The sequence below is a fragment of the Homo sapiens genome, chromosome 5 (genome assembly GCF_000001405.40).
Source record: "Homo sapiens chromosome 5, GRCh38.p14 Primary Assembly".
NCBI classification, from domain to species: domain Eukaryota; kingdom Metazoa; phylum Chordata; class Mammalia; order Primates; family Hominidae; genus Homo; species Homo sapiens.
Genome location: NC_000005.10, coordinates 26,000,196 through 26,027,161, shown reverse-complemented (window position 1 = coordinate 26,027,161; position 26,966 = coordinate 26,000,196). Strand labels below are relative to the sequence as shown.

The following is a 26,966-nucleotide window of genomic DNA, read 5'->3' as shown; positions in this document are numbered from 1 at the left end:
TCACTTTTCTTTTCTGCATTGCTGCATTTTAATTTTATTTTTATATTATTTCATAATTTTTCAATGTTGACCAATAAAGAAGTAATCTTATGTGTTTAATTAGCCATTTACAAACTCAAAGTCATATATATGTGTGTATATATATAGTTTCCTAACATTCAGATATCTATAACTATTTATCAGGGAAAATATGTTTCCTAGAATTCAGATAACTAAAATTAAATTAATATAGTTTCAAAGGAAATGATATTATGAAACAGATAGGCTATTGCAAAACTAGACAGCAATAAAGCCAATAAATTTTTATTTTTCAACCTCATTTATTAAAAACATTGCCTTTTACCTTTGAAGTTATGTTTTTGTTCCCAAATGTAAAAAATATAAGGCCAGTAATGCTCTTATAAGACTGTGTATACATATTATATTTTCATTTTGGATTTATTATTATATTACTTTTTGTTTCAGTTGTTACAGATGATGTAGTATGCCTTTTTTTTTACTTCCCATTGATGTATTTTATACACTACATATCTGTTTATATTCAAAGCAATCTTTTAGAAATGCTTACGGCTTTTTTACCTTTGAGTCTCAAATATAAGACATATTTATCTTCAATGGTAAATTGATCTGACAGGATGTTTAGCCACAAAGTCAATATGATTAATAATATCTTTTAAAGGAAAATTTAAAACATTTTTTTCATCTAAAAGGAAAAATCAAATTACTACAACAAATACATTAATGTAGTTAATCCATTACATTTATAGATTCCATTATGTAAATTCATAGATTTTTATCCAACATCATTTGTTGAAAATAATATAGTCTCAGAAGCCATAAATCGAAGCTTGCTAATGGACTCAGATATGCTTATAGTTTTTAAGTGCTGAGGAGTACAAATGCGAACACTATTGCTCTCCAAGTAACTCAGGTCATTCACCCGTGAAGAAAGACAAAAATACATTAAAGCAATAAAATGGCAATCAACTGTAAATAAATATGAGAACATCTTTTTCAAAAGAGCACTACCTTGTCAAAGATTCCACAGTTATTGTCAATGCACGAGAAGATGTTTGATAAAAGTTTACTGTGAGTTTTTTATTCAGCCTACTAATGGTCTAGCTTTGTGTGAATAGCTTTCAGGTTTCCTCCCTACATTTTATTTTTGTTCTTATATTTGTTTTTGTTTTCTAGTATTAAGCTTCAGGTAATTACAAAATTTGTTAAAGTGATTAAACATTGAAGGTAAAAGAAAGGAAAACATATTATTTATTTTCATGTTTCAATCAGATCTTGCCAGCGAAATGACTAATGTCTCCAATTATCCTTGCTGTAATCCTCACTCATCCACTAAATATTTAATGTAGTTCCCAGATCATGAATCCCTTAGTCTGAATACCATTTTATTTTTTTAAAAAAGTATTGATTTTACAGATCACTATAATTAATATACGAAATTGACAATATTGATAAATAAAAGTTAAATGTTTCTTTTCAACGAACATATATTCTCATTTAAACGTTGTAAATGTTTCTTTTCAATGAGCATTTTTTCTCATTTAAAATTTACACTCTAGTTCAGAGCAGTATTTCTCCAGTTATTTAGGGGAGTGCTAGTCAGAAGAAGTAATGTATAACAAATGTCCCTATAGCATAATACCCATAAAAATTTTTGGTGAGGGATCTGACGGGTTATGAGCATAACTGATCTAAAGAATATTTAGTTAAAACACAATACCTCTTCTACGGTTCCTCTTAAATCACTGACATTACCGTAGTTCTGTGGCTCTCCGAACGTGCTCTCATAAGCATAAACTCATAATAAAAGTTACTTCTTTTTTTTGAAGTTGACTATCTTGAAGGAAAAGTATCTTTTACATTACAACCATTTGGAAATTTTTAATATGCATTGGGTGAGCACCCTAATAAGTTTGTCTTTCTTTTAATTCGGTAACAAAAAGGAACAGAACAGGTGGTCTGAGTGTCTCGCGCCTGTAATTCCAGCATTTTAGGTGGCTGAGGTTAAAGAATCACTTGAGCTCAGGAGTTTGAGATCAGCCTGGACAACATAGTGAGACCACTCTCTACAAAAAAATTAAAAATTAAAAAATTAGCCAGGCATGGTGCACATAGCTGTGGTTCCAGCTACTTGAGAGGCTGAGGTGGGTGGATGGTGTGACCCCTGGTGGTCAAGGTAGCAGTGAGCTGTGATCCCACCACTGCACTCCAGGTTGAGTAACAGGGAGACCCAGTCTCAAAATATTAATTAATTAATTAAAAGTAAATATTTTAAAAAGTAATGAACAGATGTTATTATTTTATTTTAAAAGAAAACTTCAATGATGAGTAGAAATTTTAAATATCTTGTAAATTAGTAAACTATAAATTTGTCTAAATGATGTATTTACTAAATAGAGTTGCAATTCAAATATTTTTAAAGGGATATTTAAATAAATAAATACCTAAAGACACACCTATCTTAAATAAGCCTAAATGACTATATATGCCCTGTATTCAATACATTAAAATTACAGACTCCTTTTACACACATGAAGTCTTCCTGTCGACATGTGATCACTGAAAGCCCTAACTCTGTGTAGGAGATGCAAAAGCTTTCAATCTATGTTGAGATTCTGAGGTTTAACTAACATGTACTGTTTTCTAGAACTTACTATTGCAATGACTAAGTTGATCAGGCTTAAGAAGATTCTACTTTAGAACATTTAATGCAAACCCAGATCTGTAACTTCCTAAGTCAATGATCTTGGACAGATTATTTATCCTAATTTCCACTATGATATAAAATTTGGACTAATAGTAGTGTATGCTTGTACTGGTTTGATTAATCAAAGAAGCAGATACCGACATGATTTAAACATGCAAGGAAGTTAGAAACTATAAGTTTTTGGGGGCAGTCATCTAAACAATTGAATGATGGCACTGAGAGAAGAAAAAAATTAAAATAGATTGGGCACGTATATTAACATCTGTGCAAAGTGGAAACTTGCCGCAAGGCCATTGGTGAGTCTTCGAGCCAAAGACAGCTGTCAGAGGTGTCTGAAGTCTCACACTAATGGGTCTGCAGTAGTATCCTGGCTGGGCTCAATCAGTGCCAGGAACACCCTAAACAAGCGAAGACATAACATAATTTCCGAGATGTTTTTCAAATTGTAGCAGCTAGGCCCTGAATCAACTATGCTCTCTGTAGTTGGGAGTTTATGAGGTGCACTCTTGTGGCCACCACATTACCTCGTAAAGGTATGAAAACATTATAGAAAGAATTCCATTGAAAGCACTTAAAACAGTCTTAAGACTAAGCTCAATAAAAGTTTGCTGTCATTTGGAAACATAAAGTGCTCATCCTTGAGTAATGAAACGAGCTACACTATATTGCAGATATGTTGGACTTTGAAGATTAACACTATTCAGAATTTCTAAGCCAGAATACCAAAGTACAGGCTGAAGGACACGTAGGCTTCATATTATCAGGAGCAAGGCACTTGCTTGACCTCACCGATCTTTTTCCTGAACTGTCAGTAATGTCATCAGGTGTAAGATCAGCCTTTTAGAGAGAGCTGATAAGGAATAATTGAATAATTCAGCTGCTCCTGACACAACACATTCGCCAATTATAGAGAATATATTGCAGGGAGGCAGTTCTGGTGGGCTCCCAGAAGCTCAACGTGTACCTTACTCAGATTACAATATCAGATTCCTACAGTGGCAGTGCAAATACACAGCCACAGCTGCCAGAGGCACATGAGCAGATGTATCTTATAGCACTTTTGTGAGGAAGCAGGGTATATGATTTTCAAGTTCTGACATAATTAAACATTTAAATTAGTTTAGTAAAACAATACCTTATTTTTATCTGACATATAATAATGCAATCATTTTAAGCTTAGATTGTAATTCAAGTACAGATTCCTTTCTGTGCCCACATTTTTCTCAGGTTCTGTGTTGCAGGATTTGCATATACTCAAAGCATTTAATCTATAGTCTATGATATTTCAGTCACAACAAATATACTATGTCCATATTTATACTATGCTCAAAGAGTTACACTAACAAACTTGAAAGTGTGTGTACGAGGACAAGAAGGGCACTCAGGGACATGAACAGTATGAGAACTTAAAACTGTATGACACCCAGAATATGGGAAGGCCAATGCAAGTGGTTCAGTTGAGGCCAGAAGTTTGAGATCAGCCTAGCCAACATGGCAAAATCCCCTCTCTACTAAAAGTACAGAAGAATAATAATAATAATAATAATAATAATAATAATTAGCTGGGTGTGGTGGTACGCACCTGTAATTCCAGCTACTTAAGAGGCTGAGGCAGGAGAATCACTTGAACCTGGGAGCTGGAGGGTGCAGTGAGCCAAGATTGTGCCACTGCATTCCAGCCCGAGTGACAGAGCAAAACTCCGCCTCAAAAGCAAAACAAAACAAATGACAACAAAAAACTGTACGATATTGGCTGGCAAGTAGGCTGGTTTACAGCACAGAGTACAAAGATTTTCCTGGGGGGAGGAGATCTAGACATTTTCTTTAAATATCCACAGATTGCCACATGAACAACTGATTATAGTTTCATGTGTTTTTTGTTTTATTTGTCTTTTTCCATAGTGGGGGTTATCAGGCACAAATGTCCTTTCAAGAACCAGTGTAATAATGAGATTAAAGGCATGGTAATCAAGAACCATTCCCAACAAAAACTCTCTGAGCCTCAGATTTCATATTGATAATGCAAGGTAGAAATTATCTCTTAGCAATGTGTGAGCACTAAATTTATAATATTGGTAAAACATGTACCATGTGTCTAGGTCAAAGTACAAAACTCAAAAGAACAAATCTTAAGCTCATATATTGGACTATCCCAGAAGGAGGCAACACTGCTTTTATAAAAAGTACTCACAGTCACAGGACAAATTTTAGGACTGTTTATTTCATTGAATATTAAATCATTAGAAAAGTGTTAACTTCTGTTTAGAAAGCCTATGCTCCCCTAATAAGTTTTACATCACACAATTAAAATTTGAGGTAATTGACTATCCTTCCAAAATTTCCAGGTACTTATTATTTCCTTTTCTATCCTTTTTTTTTCTTTTATTCACTTTCTTATTACAAAGAAATAATTTACTGAAACATGAACATAAGACAAAATAACTGATTTCTTAATATTCGAGGTAAATTCTTCTAAGCTCACTTCACACTCCTATAATTCTCTCAAGAGATAAATATTTGTTTGAATTATGTTTTCAGCCTAAAGAAATTAGACACTAACATATTGAAAAAATGATGTTAAAACAGTTTTTGGCTTATAGAAATAATAACCCAAATCTTGTGGATTTGTTGACTTGCAGCACATTAATCTGTCTTTTAGCTATTGTGACATTCTTATTTTTGCATTATTTCCTTAATGATTTCTTCAGATACCTGGAGATATAATTCATTGTCTTTCTGCTGGTGCCTAATTAACAAATAGAGAAAAATTTTAACCTGAGCCAAACACCAAACTAAATCAAACCAAAACAAAGTCTTTGAGTATTTTGCATTTACCTATTTTCCTTCCTACCTTCCCTCCCATCCTCTTTTCTTCCTTCTCTCCTCCTTCCTTTCCTTTCCGGTTTCTTTGCTTTCTTCTTTCCCACATTGCCTCTCTCTCATCTTCCATTTCTTTCCTTTGCATTCAATATTTCTTCCTTCGTCTTTTTCTTCTCTTTATTTTTTTACCTCTAATGTTTTTTAACTGAGTCATAAACTAGAATATTTCCAATTTTGTATGCACTAAAACTACTTTTATATAATATCATTGTAGTGTTACTATCATGCACCATACAGTGCTGTACTTTACCATATTGTCTTATCTCTGAGATTAAATCACAGACAAAGGTAGCAGACTATTTTACTGTATAAATTATGAGCGTACTTCCTATTTATTTATTCTGAAAAAGTGAATCAATGAGACAGTTGGGTAACCTGGGAATGACTCTGAGACTTTGCATGCAGGAGGGAAGATTTGAAGGGTGAAAGGTGAGACAAAAAGAACTGGGAAGAGGGAGAATCTGAACTGCAGTGTCCTTTTCTAGACAATACACATAAATGAAATCATATAGGTCTTTTATAACTGTTTTACTTCATGTAACATGATATTTTCAAGGTTCATTCATATTTAACCTGTGTTGTTACTCAATTCCTCTTTATAGCCAAATAATATTTCACTGTTTGGATATGCCACGTTCTGTTTATGCATTAATCGGTCAATGGACATGCGGATTTTTAACATTTTTTGGCTATTGTGAGTAATGCCACTATGATCATTAATGTGTAATTTTTTGTGAACACACATTGTTAGTTCTTTTGGTTATATAACTAGGAGTCAAACTGGCTGAGCTATGGTAGCTCTATTACACATAGACAATGTGAGGAACTGAAAAACTGTTTCCAAAGAGGTTGTACCATTTCATACACCATCAATGAATGAGAGTTTGTCTTCACTCAGCTCATTTTTCTACATCTTTGCTGATACTTATCATTGTTTGCCATTTCATTTTAGCCATTTGCTGGAGGTAAAGAAATAATAAATAAGTAAACCTTATTCTTATTTGGCTTGCATTATTCAGGTGACTAATAAGTCTGAGTATCCTTTTTTGTACTTATTGTTAATTTGTTTACCTTCTTTAGAAAATTGTTTATTTAAATTGTCAGTTTTATTTGTGTTATTTATCTTATTGCTGAATTGTAAAAGTCTTTTATATAATATTGACTTATAAGTCACCCATTAGAACTACAATTTGCTAATCTTTTCTTTCATTTTGGAGGTTGTCTTTTCACTGCCTTGATAGCGTACTTTGAAGTAGAAACATTTTTAATTTCAAGGAAATTCAATTTATCTACTTTATCTTTTGTCACTCATGGTTTTTTTCACATTGAAGAATGATTGCCTTACCCAAGACCCACCAGGAAGATTTAATTCTGTGTTGTCTTATAATTGGTTTATAATTTTAGGTTATGTATGTAGGTCTTAATCTATTTTGAGTTATTTCTGATATGAAGTGCTGAGGACCCACACATTCTTTTACCCATTGATACGCAGTTTTCCCAGTGCGATTTGTTGTAAAGACTGCTTTTTACACATTGACATGTCATGGCAACCTTGTTGAAAATTATCTGTCGTAAATTTAAAGTTTATTTATGAATTTTAAAAAAATATTCTCAATCTATATGTCTCTACTTATGTCAATGTAACACTGTCATGAATATTTTGGATTTCTAATAAATTTGGAAATCAAAAATTATGAATCCTCTTACATTTTAAAAAATGTTTTTACCTATTCTGAGTTCTTTGCTCACACACACACACGCACACACATATATATATAAATTTTATGATTAGCTTGCCAATTTCTAAAAAAAAAAAAAATGCCAGTTGAGATTTCATAACCATTATGTTGAATCTGTAGGAAGTTTCAGCAGTATTGCCCATTTAACTGTAGTCTTTCCTTTTACTTTTATTTTGCTTTTTTAACTGACAGATAAAATTGTATGCATTTCTTGTGTTCAATATGATGTTTAAAAATATATACACATGCACATTGTGGAATGGCTAAATTTAGCTAATTAACATATACATTAATTCACAAAGTTATAACTATTGTGATGAGAACACAAAATCTACTCTCAGTAGTTTTCAAGAAGTCTTTTATTCCATGATATGGGTGTTTTCCCATTTGTTTAGTTCTTCTTTAATTTTCTTCAACAACGTTTTGTAGTTCACTGTATGAGTCTTGCAATTCTTTTGTTAACTTTATTCCTATTTTTGCTGATGCTCTTGTAAATAAAATCATTTTTAAATTTCATTTTCAGATTGTATATTTGCTGATGTATAGAGCTACAGTTGTTTTTTTGTACATTGATCTTATATTCTGAAAACTTTCTGAACTCACTATTAATTATAATACTATTAGCGGATTCCTTATATTTTGTATATACGTGATCATTTTAACTGCTAATAGTTTTACTTTCCAGTATCTGATCAGGATGCCTTTTACTTTTTTTTCTTATTTAAATGCAACAAAAAGGACCTTTAGTACATTGTTGAATGGAAGTTCTGAGAGTGGAAATTATTGTCTTTCCATGGTATTCTATTTTTTACGATTAAATATGGTAACAGGTGAATATTTTTCACAGATACTCATTTTTAGTTTTGAGGTGTTCTCTCCAACTCCTGTTTTTTCATGCGTTTACTAAGAGTGTTTAACTTTTTTGCAATGTCTTGCTTGTATATCATGAGATTTACATACTTTTTTCTTTTATTCTTTTAATATGGAATATTGTGGTGATTAATTTTTGAATGTTAAATTTTGCCTTCCTGAAATAAACTCATTGGTCATGATATATGCTTATTTTTGTCATAGATTTGCATTTTTTGCAAATATTTTTATAATCATTTTTGTTCCTTTGTTAGATATAATTTTCGATAATTTCTTCTTTATATGCTGCCACTGTCTGGTTTTGAAATTAGGGTAATTCTGTTCTCATAGATTGGAGGGCAATTTCTTTTCTTCTAATTTTTTTGAAAGAGTTTGTGTAGGAGTTGTTTTAATTATTCATTAAATGTTTGACAGTGGTACATAATGGGTTTATAGTTTTGTTTAAGTGTTCTATTTTCTTGTTGATGTTTTGTGTAGTAGTTTTATCCATGTTTGACACTGAATATTAATGACACCAATGAAGATTTGCCTATCCCTTGTCTTAGGTCTGTTAGTTCTTGTTTCCATGTATTGTGAGGCTGTTTTATTATATATGTAAAGTTTTATTATTGACACGTCTTCTTAATGGATTAATGCTTTTATTGTTGTAAACTGTTCTCTTTCTCTAGTAACTCACTTATATTTAAAGTCTATATTGTCAACTATTAGTATAGCAATCTTAGCTCTTATTTTTACTGTTTACATTGTACATCTTTTCCTGTTCTTTTTCTTTCAACTGATTTGTATGTGAAGACCTAAAATGTGTCTATGGTAGACAGCCTACAGATTGATCATAGAACTTTTATCCATTCTTCAAGTATCTCCCACTAAAAATCAGAATGTTTATTTACGTTTAAGGTAATTACTGATCAGATTTACAATTATTATTTTTTTCTATATTTATTATGCCCTTTTCAATTTATACCTTCTGCAAAATATATTTTTTCTACCATGGAATTTTGATTTCCTTTTTCTTGTTTTAATTTACTTTTGAAGTTTTTGTTGGTGGTGGTGGTGGTGTTATGTTTTTGTTTTTTTTTTCTGGCTTGGTTTTGTGTGCGTGTGTATTTGTTGTTGTTGGCCTGGACCTTTCACTTTGTACATTACAATAAAGGAATCTAGTTCTGATTAATACCAACATAATTTTACTAATATACAACACTTTCGTCTTTTTTCCTCTTTTATGCCTTCTTGTAAAAATGGTACTTATTTATACAAGATAAGTTCATCAACACAATTCTATAATCAATGCTTTGTGATTTTTTTATTTTTTATTGTGGTAAAATATGCATAACATAAAATTTATTATTTTAATCTTTTTTATGACTGTAGTTAGTGGTAATAACTGTATCCGCATCCTTGTACAGCCATTACCACTATTCATCTTTAGGACTTTTTTTTGCATCTCTCAGGCTGAAATCTGGACCCATTAAAAAATCACTCTTCATTTCTTCCTCCCCAAGCCCCTGGTTGCCAATTTTGTTTTGGCTCTATAAATTTCACCACCTGAGGTTACTCATATAAGTGGAGTTATGCAAGTTGGTCTTTTATGACTGGTTTATTTCACTTACCATAAGCGCTCAAGATTCACTCATGTTATATGTTAAAGTTTCCTTCATTTTTCTTGCTGAAAAACTATTTCACTGCATGTATATAATACATTTTGTCTACCCATTTACCCACTGGTGAACACTCAAGTTGCTTTCACCTTCTGGCTACTTTAAATAATGCTGCTATAAATGTTGGTATACATGAAACATGGATATACATTCAGACATATCTGTTCAAGTCCTTGGGCATATACTCCAATATGAAATAAATGGATTATATGACAACTCTAAGTTTCAATTTTTAATAAACTGCCATACCATTTTCTCTAGTAGCTGTACCATTTTACATTTTCACCAACCATGTACAAACGTTCTAATTTCTTCATATCCTCACCAACACATATGATTTCTTTCGTTTTATTTTGTTTATAACAGCTATTCAAATGAATGTGAAGTGGTATCTTGTTGAGCAATTGGTTTGAATTTCGTCAGTGATCAGTGAGATAGTGCAGTTTTATATGTGTTTATTTGCCATTTTTAGATCTTCTTTGGAGAAATATCAATTCAGGTTTTTTGCTCATTTTTAAATTCATTTTGCTATTTTTATTGCAATATAGGGGATCTTTATATACTCTGGATATTAAGTTCTCATCCAATGATAATTTTCAAATATTTTCTCCCATTTCATGGGTTGCATTTTCACTCTGCCCATAGTGTTCCTAGATGCACAAAAGTTTAAATTTTGCTAAAAATTTTGCTTTACATCTTAGAAATGGTTGCCAAATTTAACTTTATGAAAATTTTCCCTTGTGTTATCATTAAGAGTTTTGGTTCCATTTTCAGTTAAATTTCGTATACTGTGTAAAGTAAGGGTCCAGCTTCATTCTCTTTTTCATGAGTATGTCTGGTTTGCCTAATACATCTGCTAAAAATACTGTCCTTTCCCCATTGAATGGTCATGGCTCTCTATATTACTTTGAGTTACTAAATCTCTAGTATGATTTAAGGTTACTTTAGCAAATAGATTAGTCAGAGTTTTACAGGGAAACAGAACCAATAGGATATAGGTATGAGACATTTACTATAAAGATATTGATTCACACAGTTTTGACACTGAGAATTCCCATGATCTGCTGTCTGTAAACTGGAGACCCAGAAAACCCAATAGTGTAATTTGAAGACTTAAGAGCTGGAGAACCAATGGTGTAGATTCCAGTCTCGATCTGCAGGCCCTTTCAGGAGTGCAGAAGGAGAGCAAAAGATTGATGTACCAGCAGTCAGGCAGAAATAAAATTCAGCCTTTCTTCACCTTCTTTTGTTCCGTTCAGGCCCTCAGAAAATTGGATGATACACATTGTATTAGTCAGGATTCTCTAAAGGGACAGAACTAATAAGATATATGTATATATGAAGGGGAGTTTATTAGGAGAATAGACTCACACTATCAGAAGCCGAAATCCTACAATAGGCCTTCTGGAAGCTGAGGAGCAAGGAAGCCAGTCCGAGCCCCAAAACCTCAAAAGTAGGGAGGCCAACAGTGCAGCCTTCAGTTTGCAGCTGAAGGCCCTAGAGCCCCTGGAAAATCACTGATGTAAGTCCAAGAGTCCAAAAGCTGAAGAACTTGGAGTCTGATGTTCAGGGGCAGAAAGCATCCAGCACAGGCAAAAGATGAAGGCCAGAAAACCCAGCAAGTCTCCCCACTCCACTTTCTTCTACCTGCTTTATTCTAGCCAAGCTGCCAGCTGATTAGGTGGCGCCCACCCAGGTTGAGGGTGATTCTGCCTGTACACTGACTCGAATGTTAATCTCCTTTGTCAACACCCTCACAAACACACCCCAGGAACAATTCTTTGCATCCTTCAATCCAATCAAGTTGACACTCAATATTAACCATCACACTCATCCACATTTGGGAGAAGTCTCTGCTTTCCTAAGTAGAATTCAAATATCAGACTCTTTTGCAAACATCTTCACAGACACAACTAGAAATAATGCCAGCTATCTAGGCATCCTGTGGCCCAACCAAATTAACACATGAAATTAACTATCGGTGGCTCACGTCTGTAATCCCAGCACTTTGGGAGGCCAAGGTGGATGGATCACGAGGTCAGGAGATGGAGACCATCTGGTTAACACGGTGAAACCCAGTGTCCACTAAAAAAATACAAAAAAATTAGCCTGGCGTAGTGGCGGGCACCTGTAGTCCCAGCTACTCAGGGGGCTGAGGCAGGAGAATCACTTGAACCTGGGAGGTGGAGCCACCGGTGAGCTGAGATCGTGTCACTGCACTCCAGCCTGGGCGACAGAGCGAAGCTCCATCTCAAAAAAAAAAAAAAAAAAAAAAGAATTAACCATCACAATAAATAATATGTTTTATAGGTTACAGTTATTTATTCACCCCAAATTATAAATGTTTATGGCACAAAATTGAACCTCGAGGTTCTGAAATATGTGATTTACTTTGAGGTTTTGTGTTTGGCCATTGGATCAATTTCATTTTTCATTTACTTTTCGAGATAATTGAAATTATTGGTCATAGACATCAGTTCTGTGGGCCATATGAAACTAGATTTATGTACATTTTGAAATGAGGAAAAATACGTTACCAAGGTTGATAATCATTTTAACTGACACAGACGTAAAAGTTTTCAAAAGTATAAATGGAAAAAATGTGCAATATAGAGATGTCAGTTTATGAAATGGTACATTTGTTTGTGTCAAGAGCCTCTCTCATATCTTTGGTTTGCTGGCTGTAAAGAACCAGTGAATTATACAGGTCCCCTATTCTAAGACTTTGTTCTGCTAGAAACAGTTACTAATAGACTGGAAGAAAGTGCAGGTAACTGAAATTTGCACAGTAAATTATTTCAACTATTACTGCTTCTTTAATCACACACTGCATGTCTGCCACTTCTAATAACAGCTTGGTGTCTGGCAGGCATTCTGCTTTATCTCTGAATTTCACTGCTTGTGTGATCCTTTGGGAATAAATTAGTCTAGTAGTCATTATGTGCAGTCTGAGATTAACATTCACTCTATTTTTATTGCTTCCATGTACTTTTTTCTGTTAAGAACTAACTAGCGCTGACACTTGGTCTGATCTGGCCCATGCATTCCTACTGCCTCTGGTGAAATTTCCATAGACCAACTATTACCTGCCATGTTTCTTTGTATAAATTGCTCCTTGTTTCAACAAAATAAACATATTCTCTTTTCTTTTCAGCATGGTCATATTGAATGTGACTTTATATGTCTATTTCTAAATTATTTTCTTTACTGATTTGATGGTCTCTCATTTTTCAGTCTGAGTCAAAATCTACATCTCTATAACTGTTTTCCCCTGAACCATTTTTTTCTTTCTTTAGTTAAAACGGTGAAAGTAGGGCATTTTATTATTTTCATAAAAATTTAAATGATGCCTAACATTCCTTATTCTTAAGTTAGGGTTCAAATAAAAAGTGCTATTTTATATTTTCTTCATAAAATAATTTTAACTGCTGTGACTCTCTACTCTATGAATTAAAATATTTCTTCTATCCTTACTCTATTAAAACTTGCCACACAAATTTTCTTATCAAATTGAATAAAATGTTTTCTGAAAAGTTGTTGCTATATCTTCATAAGAAATCTCAAATGTATGCATCTTATTTATTAAATAAGTTAAGTCTATTGTAATTGGCTTTAGTGCCATTCTGTTAGACATTTATTCCTCTTAGTTAAAATACATCTATCAATTTTATAAGTTAATTTGCATTTACTGTATTTCTTCCAGTATTGTCCACATATTAAAATTAGTTTTCTAAGAATAATAGTTTAGGCCAGGCATGGAAGCTCACGCCTGTAATCCTAGCATTTTGGGAGGCTGAGGCGGGTGGATCACTTGAGGTCAGGAGCTCAAGACCAGCCTGGCCAACATGGTGAAACCCTGTCTCTACTAAAAATACAAAAATTAGCTCGGTGTGGTGGCAGATGCCTGCAGTTCCAGCTACTTGGGAGGCTGAGGTGTGAGAATCACTTGAACCCAGGAGGCAGAGTTTACAGTGAGCCGAGATCACGCCACTGTACTCCAGCCTGGACAACAGAGTGAGATCCTTCCAAAAAAAAAAAAAAAACAAAAAAAGCATTATAATTTAGCAACAACTAATAATAAGTTTAGCAACTTATTATTTATCTATTTGTATTAAGGCTCAGAAATCTCAGCTTTTCAGTAAAAGTTAAAAAATTTGTCACTATTATACTTGTTTAATCAATTATACTCATTTCAAGGCATACAAACATTACTTTATGCTTTATATATTAACTGGCATTTGTTGTTATAAACCATTTTTTTAGTTTTTTTGGATAATATCAAAAATTACCAATGTTGATTATATTACAAGTCATCGTGGTGAGGTAACAGGAAAGTTTTCAATTAACAATAATCACTTCTTGAATAAACCTCTAGCTATAATACTGCCAATGTGCAAAGCTGTTATAAACTATTTGTACAAGTTTAAAAATCCACTGTGTAATTTATTATATTTGTATAACATGTTAGTTATTTTGAATTGTTTCGTTTAATAATTCTGATTAAAAGAGAAAATTCATTGAGTTTTATTAGAAAGTTTCAACATATTTCTAGCTTTATGTATTGTCTATAAATTGAAGTTCAAAGAGAGGAAATTTCTATTGAAACGTTATTTTATTCTTATACCACTCTGGGCATGTTATAACATTTTGCTTTTAAAACTATAATGTATTTAAATATATAATAAACTAGAAAAAATGTTCCATAATTTCATAAGAAGCACATATTTCTATGGTAATGCATTTACTTTTACATTATGGATAGTTAAGTTCAATATTATTAATGATTAGAATAAAGAAATTATAATGTCACATAAGTAGTGAATATATATTCTTTAATCTTCAACAGAACATAAGCATTTGACCCAGAAAGCTTCCTTCTTTGCTTTTCCACAACAAGATAGGAAGTGTATAAAAGATAAGGCTGCAAGAAATCTTACACTGTAACAGTCAATTCAAATGCTTTGTGCTGCAAATGTAACTGGGAGTCAGATATTGACAGCAAAAGACAGCTTTTGCCAGGGAAACTCCATTTAGCACTTAGGAAATGAAATATGAAAGACAAGTTAACTGATTCCCACAGTAACAATTACATGTCTATACTCTAAGAATGAAAAGAAGACTTAAACAGTTATAAAATTAATAGAGTCATTGTTAGAAAGGAACTTAAATATAAACTTTATTTGAATTTCTATGTATATTTTACTAGAAACGGTGTTTTATGGTAATTATTATAATTACAAATAATATTATACATAATATATCATATATATTATTCCATATTCCCCATATTATTATATACATAAAGTGAAACAACCTGACTCTTTGGCTACAGGCTTTTTGTACTGCAAGGTTGGAAAAACATGGGTCTATTCCTTGAACAGGTAAGAGACTGTCGTCCAAACACTTAATGTTGTAGTAATATCATAAAATTAGGTTTGTGGCCTGAGCTACCACCTTAGATCTCTACCAGATTGGTTAACTTTGGTAATTGATTGAAATCATTTCCCATAGCACTTTTAAATAATCAAGTTTCTTAGAAGTGTTAGATATTAACACTTAGCTGGGAGACATTAAATGATAACCAGAAAGGGGCTTGATGATCATTCTCAGTAAGTAGGTAAAGTTGACTGGGGTGAGATTAAAGAGGTCTCTGTCCATGCACAATTTCACTAATACAACTGATATGACACACCCAATTCATAGATATAAAAAGTAGAGTGGTGGATGCCAGAGGCTGAGGGAAAGAGGAAATGGGGTGTTATTTCTTAATAAGCAAAGAGTTTCAGTTTGGAAGCTGAGAAAGTTTTGGAGATATACGGTGGTGACGTGATGGTTGCACAATAATGTGAATGTATTTAATGCCACTGAATTACACACTTAAAAATGGTGAAGATAGTAAATGCTACGGTATGCATATTTTATCATAACAATGGAAATGTGACCAGCATACAAACTCTTGGAGAATAAAGGTATTCAATGCTGTAGTCTGAATGCTGGTGTCCCCCTCAAAATTTATATGTTGAAATCCTAACTCCTAAAGTGATTGCATTAGGAGATGAGAGTTTTGGGAGGTGATTAACTCATTAGGACAGAGCCCTCATGAATAAAATTAGCGTCCTTATAAAAGAGGCCCAAGACAGCTGCTTTGCCTCTTCCATCACATGAGGACACAGGAACAATGTGCTACCCATAAGGAAGAGGGCTGTGACCAGACACTGAATCTGTGGGTGGCTTGATCTTGGACTTCCCAGGCTCCAGAACTGTAAAAAACAAATATTCGTTGTTTATAAGCCAATCATTTCTGATATTTTGTTATATCAGCCCAAATGGGCTAAAATATTTAAGTATAAAAAAAAATAGAGAAAAAAATATTTTATCTCTTTTTGGGAAGTCATTTCTGAAACAATGAAAAAATGAAAAACTACAAGGAAAAATAGTTTCAGATATAAGAATATTTAATATATATAAATTTAAAAATTAAAAATAAAGGTTCATAATATCTGATATATATTTATATTATATTTATATAGATAATGCTAAGATAATGACTGAAAAATAGGTATGCAATAATGTCAATTTCTTAAGGGTCTAAAAAAATGTTCCAGTGTTTCACTAGATAGTAATAAAATGTGTAATAAAATGATATTCCATTTTCAACTATAAAACTAAAAATCTCCCCTTTTTGTTTACATTTACAATGGTCAATACTGGCAAAGATCTGGAACATGAATGTCTGTTTCTTTGTACCCGACTGAATTGCTATGATGTATTTGGAAAAGCATTTACTAGATGTGTCAAAGCGAGATTTTTAAAACGTCAGTTATTTTATGTCTCTCATGAACAGCACTGTGACTTAAACTGAAAAATGTAGTAATAGATATTTTTATTCTTATATTTTGGAATTTCTAAACTTTGTTTACTGGCCGTATATATTGCAGTGATAATCAGAAAGCCAACACTCACTGAATGCTATTTTTAAGAAAAAATATATATCTAGTTTGAAGACAACTTAAATATAATGTTTCATTCATCTTCTATAACTGAAACTTTGCACCTTTTGACCAACAGCTCCCCACTACTCACCCCCCGCCCCCCATCCCACCACCAGCCTCCAGAACCCATCTTTCTGTTATGCTTCTATAAGTTTAGCATTGTGGGCAGTGTTTCCTGGGTTTCACTTATCTCCAAACTACGTACAGCTTTTTTATATCAACATCTCTCAATAAAGCAGTTTATAAATAGTAATCTGGTCAACCCTAGTGACATTAATAAAGGCTCTGTTAGTAGCAGGAGGTCTGAGGGATTTCAGAGCTGAACAAGGAAAAAGCCATGACCAGAAGGCGGCAGCAGCACACACGACTTTACTGGGGGATACATTGGTTTGCACGTTCTCCAAATCCTCACTTCGGGGAACGTCTAGAAGAGGAGAAGGGCCAGTGAACTCTGGAGAAAAGGGGTATTGGAGAGGGGACTTACATATCTCAGTGATGTTCCCCAGTAGCCTGAAAGATTGTCTCTGGGTCAGAGACCTCTGAAGAGCAGCAACAGCTGGTCGATGGGCATAACTTTGTGAGGACAAAGTGCCTAAAAATCTGTTTATTTGTTGTTTATAAACCAACCTTTTTGTGGTATTTTGTTGTAGCAGCCCAAATAGACTAGGATATTACATGTTTATAAAAATTAATATAGAAAAAAATATTTTATTTCTTTGCTGGGGAAACATTCCTGAAACCATTAAAACACAAGAAACATTAGATTTATAAAATTTTGAGTTTGGCACTAGCAGACTTTTGAGTGAACAGATCTCAGCATGCTGTGAAGAAATAAACATCTTAGGAGCTAATATACAGAGACCATCTTTGACTCATCTTTATAACACATTGAAGTACTTCATTTAGAGAAGATGCTCAGTAAATCTTTCATTTGCATTGAAAGAAATATTAATTTTACACTTCAGAAAATATAATTCAAAGACAATAAGAGACTTGGTTAAATTTACTCAAATGACTAGGCAGAGTTAGTTATATCACTGGGTTCTTCTCATTTAGAACCAACTCTTCTTTCCATCATTATTATTTTCTCAAACATTGTTAATAAACTTAATACATTTCCACATGTAGTTCCAAACCTTCAATGTATAAATGTACTTACCTAATTCAATTTCCACTTTTTGTGCTGGAAAAAAAATCAAAGGCACTCTGATTCATAGTGAATGAAAGACAATCTTATTTTCCACAAACTTCTAAACATGGCAAAAAAAAAATTGTAATTGTCTTAACTTTTAATTTTCTCCATGGTGTAGATATATCGATATATACATAAATATGAATGTATTCTCAGAGTACTCTTCTAGGTTTTATTATGGGACATTATTTTTATGATTAAAAAAGGAAATGTAGTATTCATATATCACTGCTGTGATGTGTGAAGCCGATTGTTTGGTAAAAAGAATTCTGAGCTACAGGTTCTTTGATATGTATTCCAATTCTGACTCACCCAATGACACAAATATTGATGTATTAGTTCATTTTCACACTGCTAATAAAGACATACCTGAGACTGGTAATTTATAAAGGAAAGATGTTTAATTGACTCACAGTTACACATGGTTTGGGAGACCTCACAATCATGGCAGAAGGCAAATGAAGAGAAAAGTCACATCTTACACATTGGCAGACAAGAGAGAGCATGGGCAGGGGAACTCCCTTTTATACAATCATCAGATCTCATGAGACTTATTCACTATAATGAGAACAGCATGGGAAAGACCTACCCCTATAATTCAATTACCTCTCACTGAGTCCCTCCCATGACACGTGGAGATTATGGGAACTACAACTCAAGATGAGATTTGGGTGGGGACACAGTCAAACCATATCAACTGATGATTTTAGAAAATACTAGAACTACATTTTAAATATATTAACTTGCAGGATATTTGTTTACATGTAGAATCTCAAAAAAAGATGAGAATATTCACAATTTGGGGTATTAAATTTACAATTGCCAGAAATTTATGAGAAGTGATATTGCCCTTTGTAGCCTTAAATATTAATTAGTGCAAGTTGCATAACTGTAATATAAAATTAATGAATTAATTTCTGTACTTGTTTATATTTCTTTGAATGCAGATAATACTGTATGTCATTGTTAGAAATTCTCTATTGTTCTATATTATTCTAAACTTCATGGCTTGCTGAAGATGCAGATGATCATGCTTTAACAATAAAGTATTTTAAAATTATGTACATTGATTTTTCGATAAAATACTATTGCTACAGTATAAAGTAAATTATTAATATGCATATTAAGAAAACTATAGTGTAAATGTAACTTTTATATGTACCAAGCAACCAGCAACCAAAAAAATGTTTGACTTTCTTTACTGTGATACTTTATTGAGGTGGTCTGAAACTTAACCCACTATATTTCTGTGGTACACCTGCATTCCTTATTTCTCATAGACAAAGCAAGAAAAATTGTTAGAATTCAGCTGAGTACACTAGTATATCAACATTTTATTTATTTTTTTGAACAAATTGCTATTACTAAACATAATTCTTCCTGTGAAAATTATTATAAAAGAAAAAAAACTATTTTTATGAAATGGCACCGAAAATATCAATTTTGTTTGCACTTAATGAAGGCAAGAAGAAAGGACTCCAGCAGAGAAATTTAAGTTTTGAGTATAAAAAAGAAAATCAGTGGCTATTCAGAGCAGTGTGTAATCTCTTACTTGTTGAGGAATAGTTTAAACAGTACACGATATGAAGCTAATACCAAATGTAGAGTCATACCTGAAATAGACATGTTTTATATATAATCATGAAATACTTATGTATGTCAGGACATTAAAAAGAGAATAACATGAGGATTGAAACAATATACATCCCACGCTTTTCAACTTGTATATATTTTTCAATTACATAAATTAACTCAATAAAATTGTTAGAACTCTGACCACATTGAAACAACTAACAATGGTGAATAGATCTTTTCCTAGGATGGTGATGACATAAGTCAGATCTCAATTTACATCTTTAAAAACTATAGAGTTTTATGAAGAGGGTAAGTAAAACCACTTATCATTCACTTCTACAGAAGGCCTAAGAGGAAAGAGAACTCCGAAAAATTTAACTTACACATAAATGGGATGATAAACTGCTGAAACCAGAGGAGGAAGCTCATGAGCCCATAACAGAGCACAGAGTGAGGCAGGAAAAAAGAAAAGTGTGGTAGAGTTCTAGTGGTAAGAGGCATGGATATTAACCCTTTGAGAAGAGTCTGTTTCTGAAAGAAAAACAACCAGAACAGGAGCCAGGCTTTGCAAATACAAGCCCTGGCTACTGTGTAATTGAATTAGGCTCTCGATTGCTCATGGAGTTAGAATTGGCATCCTTGGGACCGCAGTGCGGAGGACAGGAACTCGGAAGGGAGAGACATATCGTGTTGACTTTATATAGAAGAAAAGAAAGAATACGACCTTAAAGCCCTACAGTAAAAAATAAAAATAAAATAACAATTCTGAAAACAATAGTTTTTTTGCTACGGAAGTATTTATTGAAATAAACACATTTTCTTTTACTAATAGTAGAGTTGATCTTGCAGTAAGAATCTCAGTAAGCTAATAAAACATATTACAACATCCAAAGAAACAATTGTTACTGTCTCTCAATGAAAATTCAAAACAGTTAACACAAAAAAGCCATATATAAAAAGCTATTATCACACAGCATAGATAAAATGTACACATGATGAAAATATTAAGCTAGCAGGAACAAAATTGTAAAATAGAACTCCAACATAAACTACATATTTTTAAACTAGCAATTGCAACTTTAAAAGCACAAAATGAATCAGGGAATTTTAAATCTCACAATACATTTTTTAAAAAAGTAAGACATGAGAACATAATTCGGAACATTCACTAAACAAACTCACCAAACCAAGCCAAAAGAAAGACAGATTTACAAGATGCCCAGAAAAATCATGTCTCACTGTGAGGGAAAAAAACAAACAAACAAATAAACATAAAAACAAAAAGGGGATGTGAATTAAAATAAAACACTGCGATAAAATATTAAAAATACATAAAATATTTTGAATATCCTAATCCATTATTTATATAAAGATATGAAGAAAGAATAAATAAAATAAGCAGATAGAAGTAACATTTAAAACTACTATTGATAGTTTCAACACAACTTGAATGTTTCAGCAGTAACTAAGAAAATTTTACTATGACTGACTATTTTAGGATATAACCTGATAAAATTATTAGACCTAAAAGTCACATGAAAAACAACAATGACAAAACCCCCAGGCAAAGAGGCTAAGGCATTTGCAAAAAAAAAAAAAAAAAAAAAAAAAAAAAAAATATATATATATATATATATATATATATATATATATATAAAAGTAGAAACAGGTCAACACCAGCTTTCTTGACAACATACAATATAAGACAACAGTGAAATAATATTTTGAAAAACACAAAGAAAAAAGATAAGCAAAATTTTAAAATTCAGATAAGCAATCATTCAACTATAAAGGATAGGAGAATGATTAAATATTCAAGAATGAATGTAGGCATAAGTTCTTTCTGAGAAATCCATATTCGTGAAATTTCAATGAAGAAAATGGTCATCATCCAATATATTTAATTGCAGTAATAAGATTCAAAGGAGGGAACAAAATTAACTAATAATATTTAAATTGTATAAATTCTATAAAAGTGAAAATAAATAATATGACAGAAAGGAAACAAAAAATTGAAAGTAAAATAAGCTCATTGGTGTTTGCAAAAGTCATGGGTGAGAGTCAAGGATACTATACAAAGCTAATAAAATAAAATGCAGTCACCTAAATATTGAAAAAGGAGACTAAGGACATTATGAAATAAATTAGTATAGGTAACCACTTGAACTAAAACAAAATCTTTATAACTATAAATACAAGAATTAGCAAAATAGAACAAAGAAAACACTTTATACAGAGATACGCTTAATACTACATAAAAGAACTTAAGATCTCATGAAAAAAATGAAACTAAGCATATCAGTCATGTCAATATTATAAATCGGCTTAAATATTCTGCTTCTGGATTTGTTCACTAATCAAAATCTAAGTTTATTCTGTACAAGGACTTATGTAAACTAGACATAAACATAAAGCCTAAAAGGATAGGAAAAGGATACCAAGCAAATACAAGCAATGAGAAAGCAGGTTGTAATATTCATAGCAGACAAGGTTCTCAGAAATATTTTTTGAATGCAAGAATGCATGAATTTGTGGGGGATTTGTTCTGAGAATATAAGAACTCATGCCCTCACCCAACAAATCTGTATATAGTTATGGATAAGAAATAAATAGCCAGATTACATTTGATTAAAATAAATGAATGTTCTGATTTATTGGATAAGCCACCTTATAAAATACATTAAAATATATTTTTATTAAATCATAGATTTCACAGCAATCAGAACACATGAAATAAAGTTTTATTAGTTCACACCAAGTTTTATTAGTTCACACAAACTTTTATTAGTTCACATAAACTTCTGTGAGTAGAGAAGTTTTTTAAAGTTATCTGTTTTGGTTTTAATCAAATAAGCATGATAAGTATATGCATAATAAGATTTGGAAGTGGGAAATTGAAGAGATTAAAAAACCATAACTTTATGGAAAATACACATATGATAATTACACATTGGGTGTATTCTGCATTGCTTTTCTGCTAAGCTGTTACAAATGATAGGTATTGCTAATATAAAGGGGGGAATGGGAAGGATTTGTGTTGCCTCTTAGTATTACTGAAAACTCACGGTCAGATCAGAATTTACACTTTCTGAAGGTGATGTTCAAAGGCCTTCAGCACTGCCTGAAAGCTCCATGTGTACATACAAGACGCATCTCTGAAAGACATGATGATTATTACTTCATATTCAGGAAAACTCAGCAGTATTAATGCAGTGATTAAAATAAGAGAGTACAAGATAATGAAGATGCTGGGGGCAGAGTGGCAACGCCTTATTGGCAGTGATGAATAGGGCTTACTCTCCATAAGTACCACAAGCTTGTTCAGTGTGGGTACTCGTGCTGAGTTCCATCAGCCAGAAAATTGGCTGTTGAGGGGATTAAAGTGAAAGCAGATGTTTCACTAACACATCCTCAAACTGACAACTTATGACTAATGTAGGCCAGCAGAGTCACATCTGCCTATTGACTACAGGAAGCTTTGACATACATAATTTAAAAATGTTTTGATTGTGTTGGTACCATGTTTCCATGATAAGAGGGAAGAAAAGATTCCGCAAAAGAAAAAGGCAGAAGGGAGACCTAAACCAAAGTTGAGTGATCCACCCCCAGAACCATACAGCAAATTGTATTTCATGGCTATACCCCCTTTGGCTCTGTTTCAAACTTTTATTTTTGTAAAATGTATTGCCAGGTATAGAGAACCAGGACAATGTTATTTTTAAAACAATTTAATGTTCACAGTCTAACAAAACCAGAGAGAACTTATGTACCTACAAGTCAGTAACATTTCACAGATGATTTCTGTCCTGATTTCCACTGGCTGACACTTAAGACTTCTCAACAAATGTCTAATGTATGACATGAACAACTCAAAGTGGTCTCTTTCGAGGGGTCAAAAAAGTAACTAGGAAAACTAACCTCATTATTTGTCAACCATATTTTATGATTAAATCTATTTTTTATGTTCTCATCACTGTGGAAATAACCCATCATTTTTCTGTGTCTTATTGCCTGAAATTCAACGTGTGATACAAAGTCAATTTGATCATAATAAATCTTGGTGCTTCCATTGTACTATATTAGATTGAAGATGGGGCTATATATGAGGGCATATGTGCATATTTCTGTTGTATTCAAATAAAATTATGGTCACTTTGTCTCATTATATTTAACAAGGGGCCATAGTATTTATTTACAATGAGTTTTAACAGCATGTAATTACTATTAATTACTCTTTTTGTTGCTCATGAGTCTCTATTCCATTCTATTTTTGTTTCAGAGAGATATTGTCAGATGTTCATTTCATTTGATTTTTAATTATTTTCTTCAATTTTGAAAAAAGAAAACAAAGATTTCGGATCTGAGGTAATTAACCTTCCAATTTAATTCTGATACTTGCTAGAACCATGAAAATTATAAAACTTTTATTTGGTATCTATTATGTTCAGTATGAGATCTATAAATGATATTTAGATACAAACATATTTTGCAAGATTTTGAAATACAAAATAGTTAATAAAATATGGACAAAAATATACCACAGGTAGAAAACTATGGGTCATAAAATAGCAGTTAATCAGAGTCGTGTATTATTTAGAGAAGAAATCATTTTGTCATAGGTTGTGAAAGATCGAAAAATATTTTGGATTAATTGAGATAAGCTTTAAAGTTTAAGCAGATTATGGTGAAGGGAGATGAGTGAAGACTAAGAAACATGTGTATAGAATCAATGGAGACATGGAAAGCCCAAAAACATAAGAAGCAGTTTATTTTGCATAGGTCCTGGACTTCATTAAAGGAATTAGAAAAAGATAAAGCATATTTTGAAAAGAAGGAAATCCTGTCATTTGCAACAACATGATGAAACTAGAGGACATTATGTTAAATGAAATAAAGCAGGCATAGAAATACAAATATTGTATGATCTCACTTATATGTGGAATCTAACAAAATTGAACTTATAAATCAGAGAGTAGAATGGTGGTTGCCAGGACTGGGGTGGTCTGGGGAAATGTTGGTCAAGGGATTCAAAATTTCAGCTAGATACGACGTTAAGTTAGACAGTTACATTTGGGAGATCTACTTACAATATGGTGACTGCTATGAGTAACAGTGTCTGTACACCAAGTGAGTAGATTTGAAATTTTCTTACCTTACAAAAGTAATAAGTATGTGAGGTAATGGATATGTTAATTACCTTGACTTAACCTTTTGCAATGTATACATAATATTGAAAAATTGCATTGTACAACATAAACATACATATTTTTCATTCGTTAGCTAAAAACATTTAAAAAGAAAAAAGATAAAGCTGAGAATGTTGAGTGAGGTTAGTTCAAGCAGAAAATTAAATATCGGGAAACTACAATTGAGGAGTGAAAAAAGACACTGACAAATTTGTTGCCATTGCTTCTCTTTGTTTGTTTGCTTGGAAAGTGACATATTATCAGACCCTATGGGAGAGCTATGAAAAAGAAATAAAAGAAGAGTTTTATGGATATTCTAGGCAAAACACACTGAGAACAGGAACAAGAGAATTGGCAGTAGTGCTGTACCAAAGAATAATATTGGTTGTGTTTTAGAATTGCCTTTGTATCTCCTTAAGGCAATAAAATGGAAAACATATGCTATTTTTTTGAATGAAAAGTGAGGTAAAAGTCTCAACTTAGCTATTTATCTAATTTGAATTAAAATATGCACCATATCACAGTTAATATTGTACTGGTCATTGAGATCAAGTAATAAAAATATGATACCTAAATAATTTTCAGATACTGTGTCCTGTAAAGAACTTCAGTTTTCTGATTTACTTTTAAGAAAAAAAAAAGTCACATTAAAATAAAATGTCCCTTCGTCTTTGTCTCACTCTGACTTGATGATGAACAATAAATTTTTCTTAGAGAAGACTGAGTCTTATTTATGGTATAAGGATGTGAAAATGACCTCTTCCTTTCCATCACACATTGAGACATAACTCAAAGGCAGTCACTTTTCATATATGATCATATCAAACAACAGCTGTTGCTGCTCTTATTCCAAGGAGACTATCATCAGTATATTTCTCACAATTTAATACACTGCAAGGGAAATTTTAAGGGTATACACAGAGTGAAAATACCTTGTCTTAGAATCAGAGCAATGAAAACAAAGGATTATTCTAAATAGCACTATTTTATTGTTATTCATAATACACATTATATTTTCCTTAATGAATATGCCTAAAACAAAGTAACCATATAGCTAGGCTTAAGAGAGTTTGGACAATTTAAAACAGAAGAAATTCTACAACTATTCAGTCAAAATTATAAGATATATTAGTTGGTGATGGTGAAGTTCAAGGGTGTAAGGCAAAATCAAAATTGATTTCAAGTTTTTGTATAACCAGGAAGATAAATGTGTCATTTTGTAACTGGGTAGCAAGAAAGCACAGACTGTTTTTGGATAAGGTATCTTCAGGAGTTTGATGACAAATTTCATGTTGAAGGTTTTTTGAATTTTAAATGCCATTTTGTTGTTAGAAAATACAAAAGAGGAAAACTTCATTATAAGTAAGAGCTTGATTAATGATTGTGGAAGAATTGTAGAGTATTTGTTAGGAACCAGTAATATCAAGATGACTAGAAAATCTACATTAGCTTGTTAGGCTTTTAGCTTCATGGAGGCAAAACCTAACTATGTCAGATCATGAACATGGAGAACACGCCCCTTCTTTTCTTCTACAGCACTTATGTGGCACAAGGACATGGAATAAATATGAGAAAGTACTCTCTAGGAGACCCACAGAAAGAGTATTTTCCAAAAAAGTGGAGCTATTTAGATAAAAAAGTAGAGATAAAATAAAGAATGAAAATAAATAGAAGATGAGAAAAAATAAAATGTGAGAATTGATATAAATAATAACCTTATATATACTGGTGCTATATTGCAGTTTTATGTCAATCAGTATGGAATGAAAGTACCAGATTTCACAATCACAAAAGATAGAAGGGTGATACAAAGAAGATGTGTGTTAAGATCCTTGAGGAATGAGTGAGACGGTCACTCTAATTGCATGAACAAATAATTACACAGAATATCTCACATCTAGAATTGCCGCACCCCAGGTGCAGAATTAACTTTAGCATATTTATGTGATCTTGATAGGACAGTATTTTAGTTTTGTAGTCACAGGACTGACTGCCAAAATTTTAATTCATAGAATGTTTGCACAGGTTACTTACTGACTTATGGTTGAATTCAAACCATCAGTGTTGCTCTTTTGAGAAAGTTAAGAGAACAATTAAAAAGAAAATAACTCAAAAAGTAAAAATCAAAATATTTGGCACATATTAAAGA

The 26,966-nt window shown here is 32.3% G+C and overlaps 1 pseudogene, besides 1 other annotated feature; it reads right to left on the bottom strand.

The window, feature by feature from the left end:
* Positions 14,137-14,273, bottom strand: RNU4-43P (RNA, U4 small nuclear 43, pseudogene; annotated as a pseudogene).
* Positions 16,951-17,452: an enhancer, noted in NCBI's record as "NANOG hESC enhancer chr5:26009819-26010320 (GRCh37/hg19 assembly coordinates)". NCBI's record gives its function as "activates a minimal SCP1, AML or CMV promoter by ChIP-STARR-seq in naive H9 embryonic stem cells {active_cell/tissue: H9 hESC(naive)}" and the evidence as "EXISTENCE:reporter gene assay evidence [ECO:0000049][PMID:30033119]".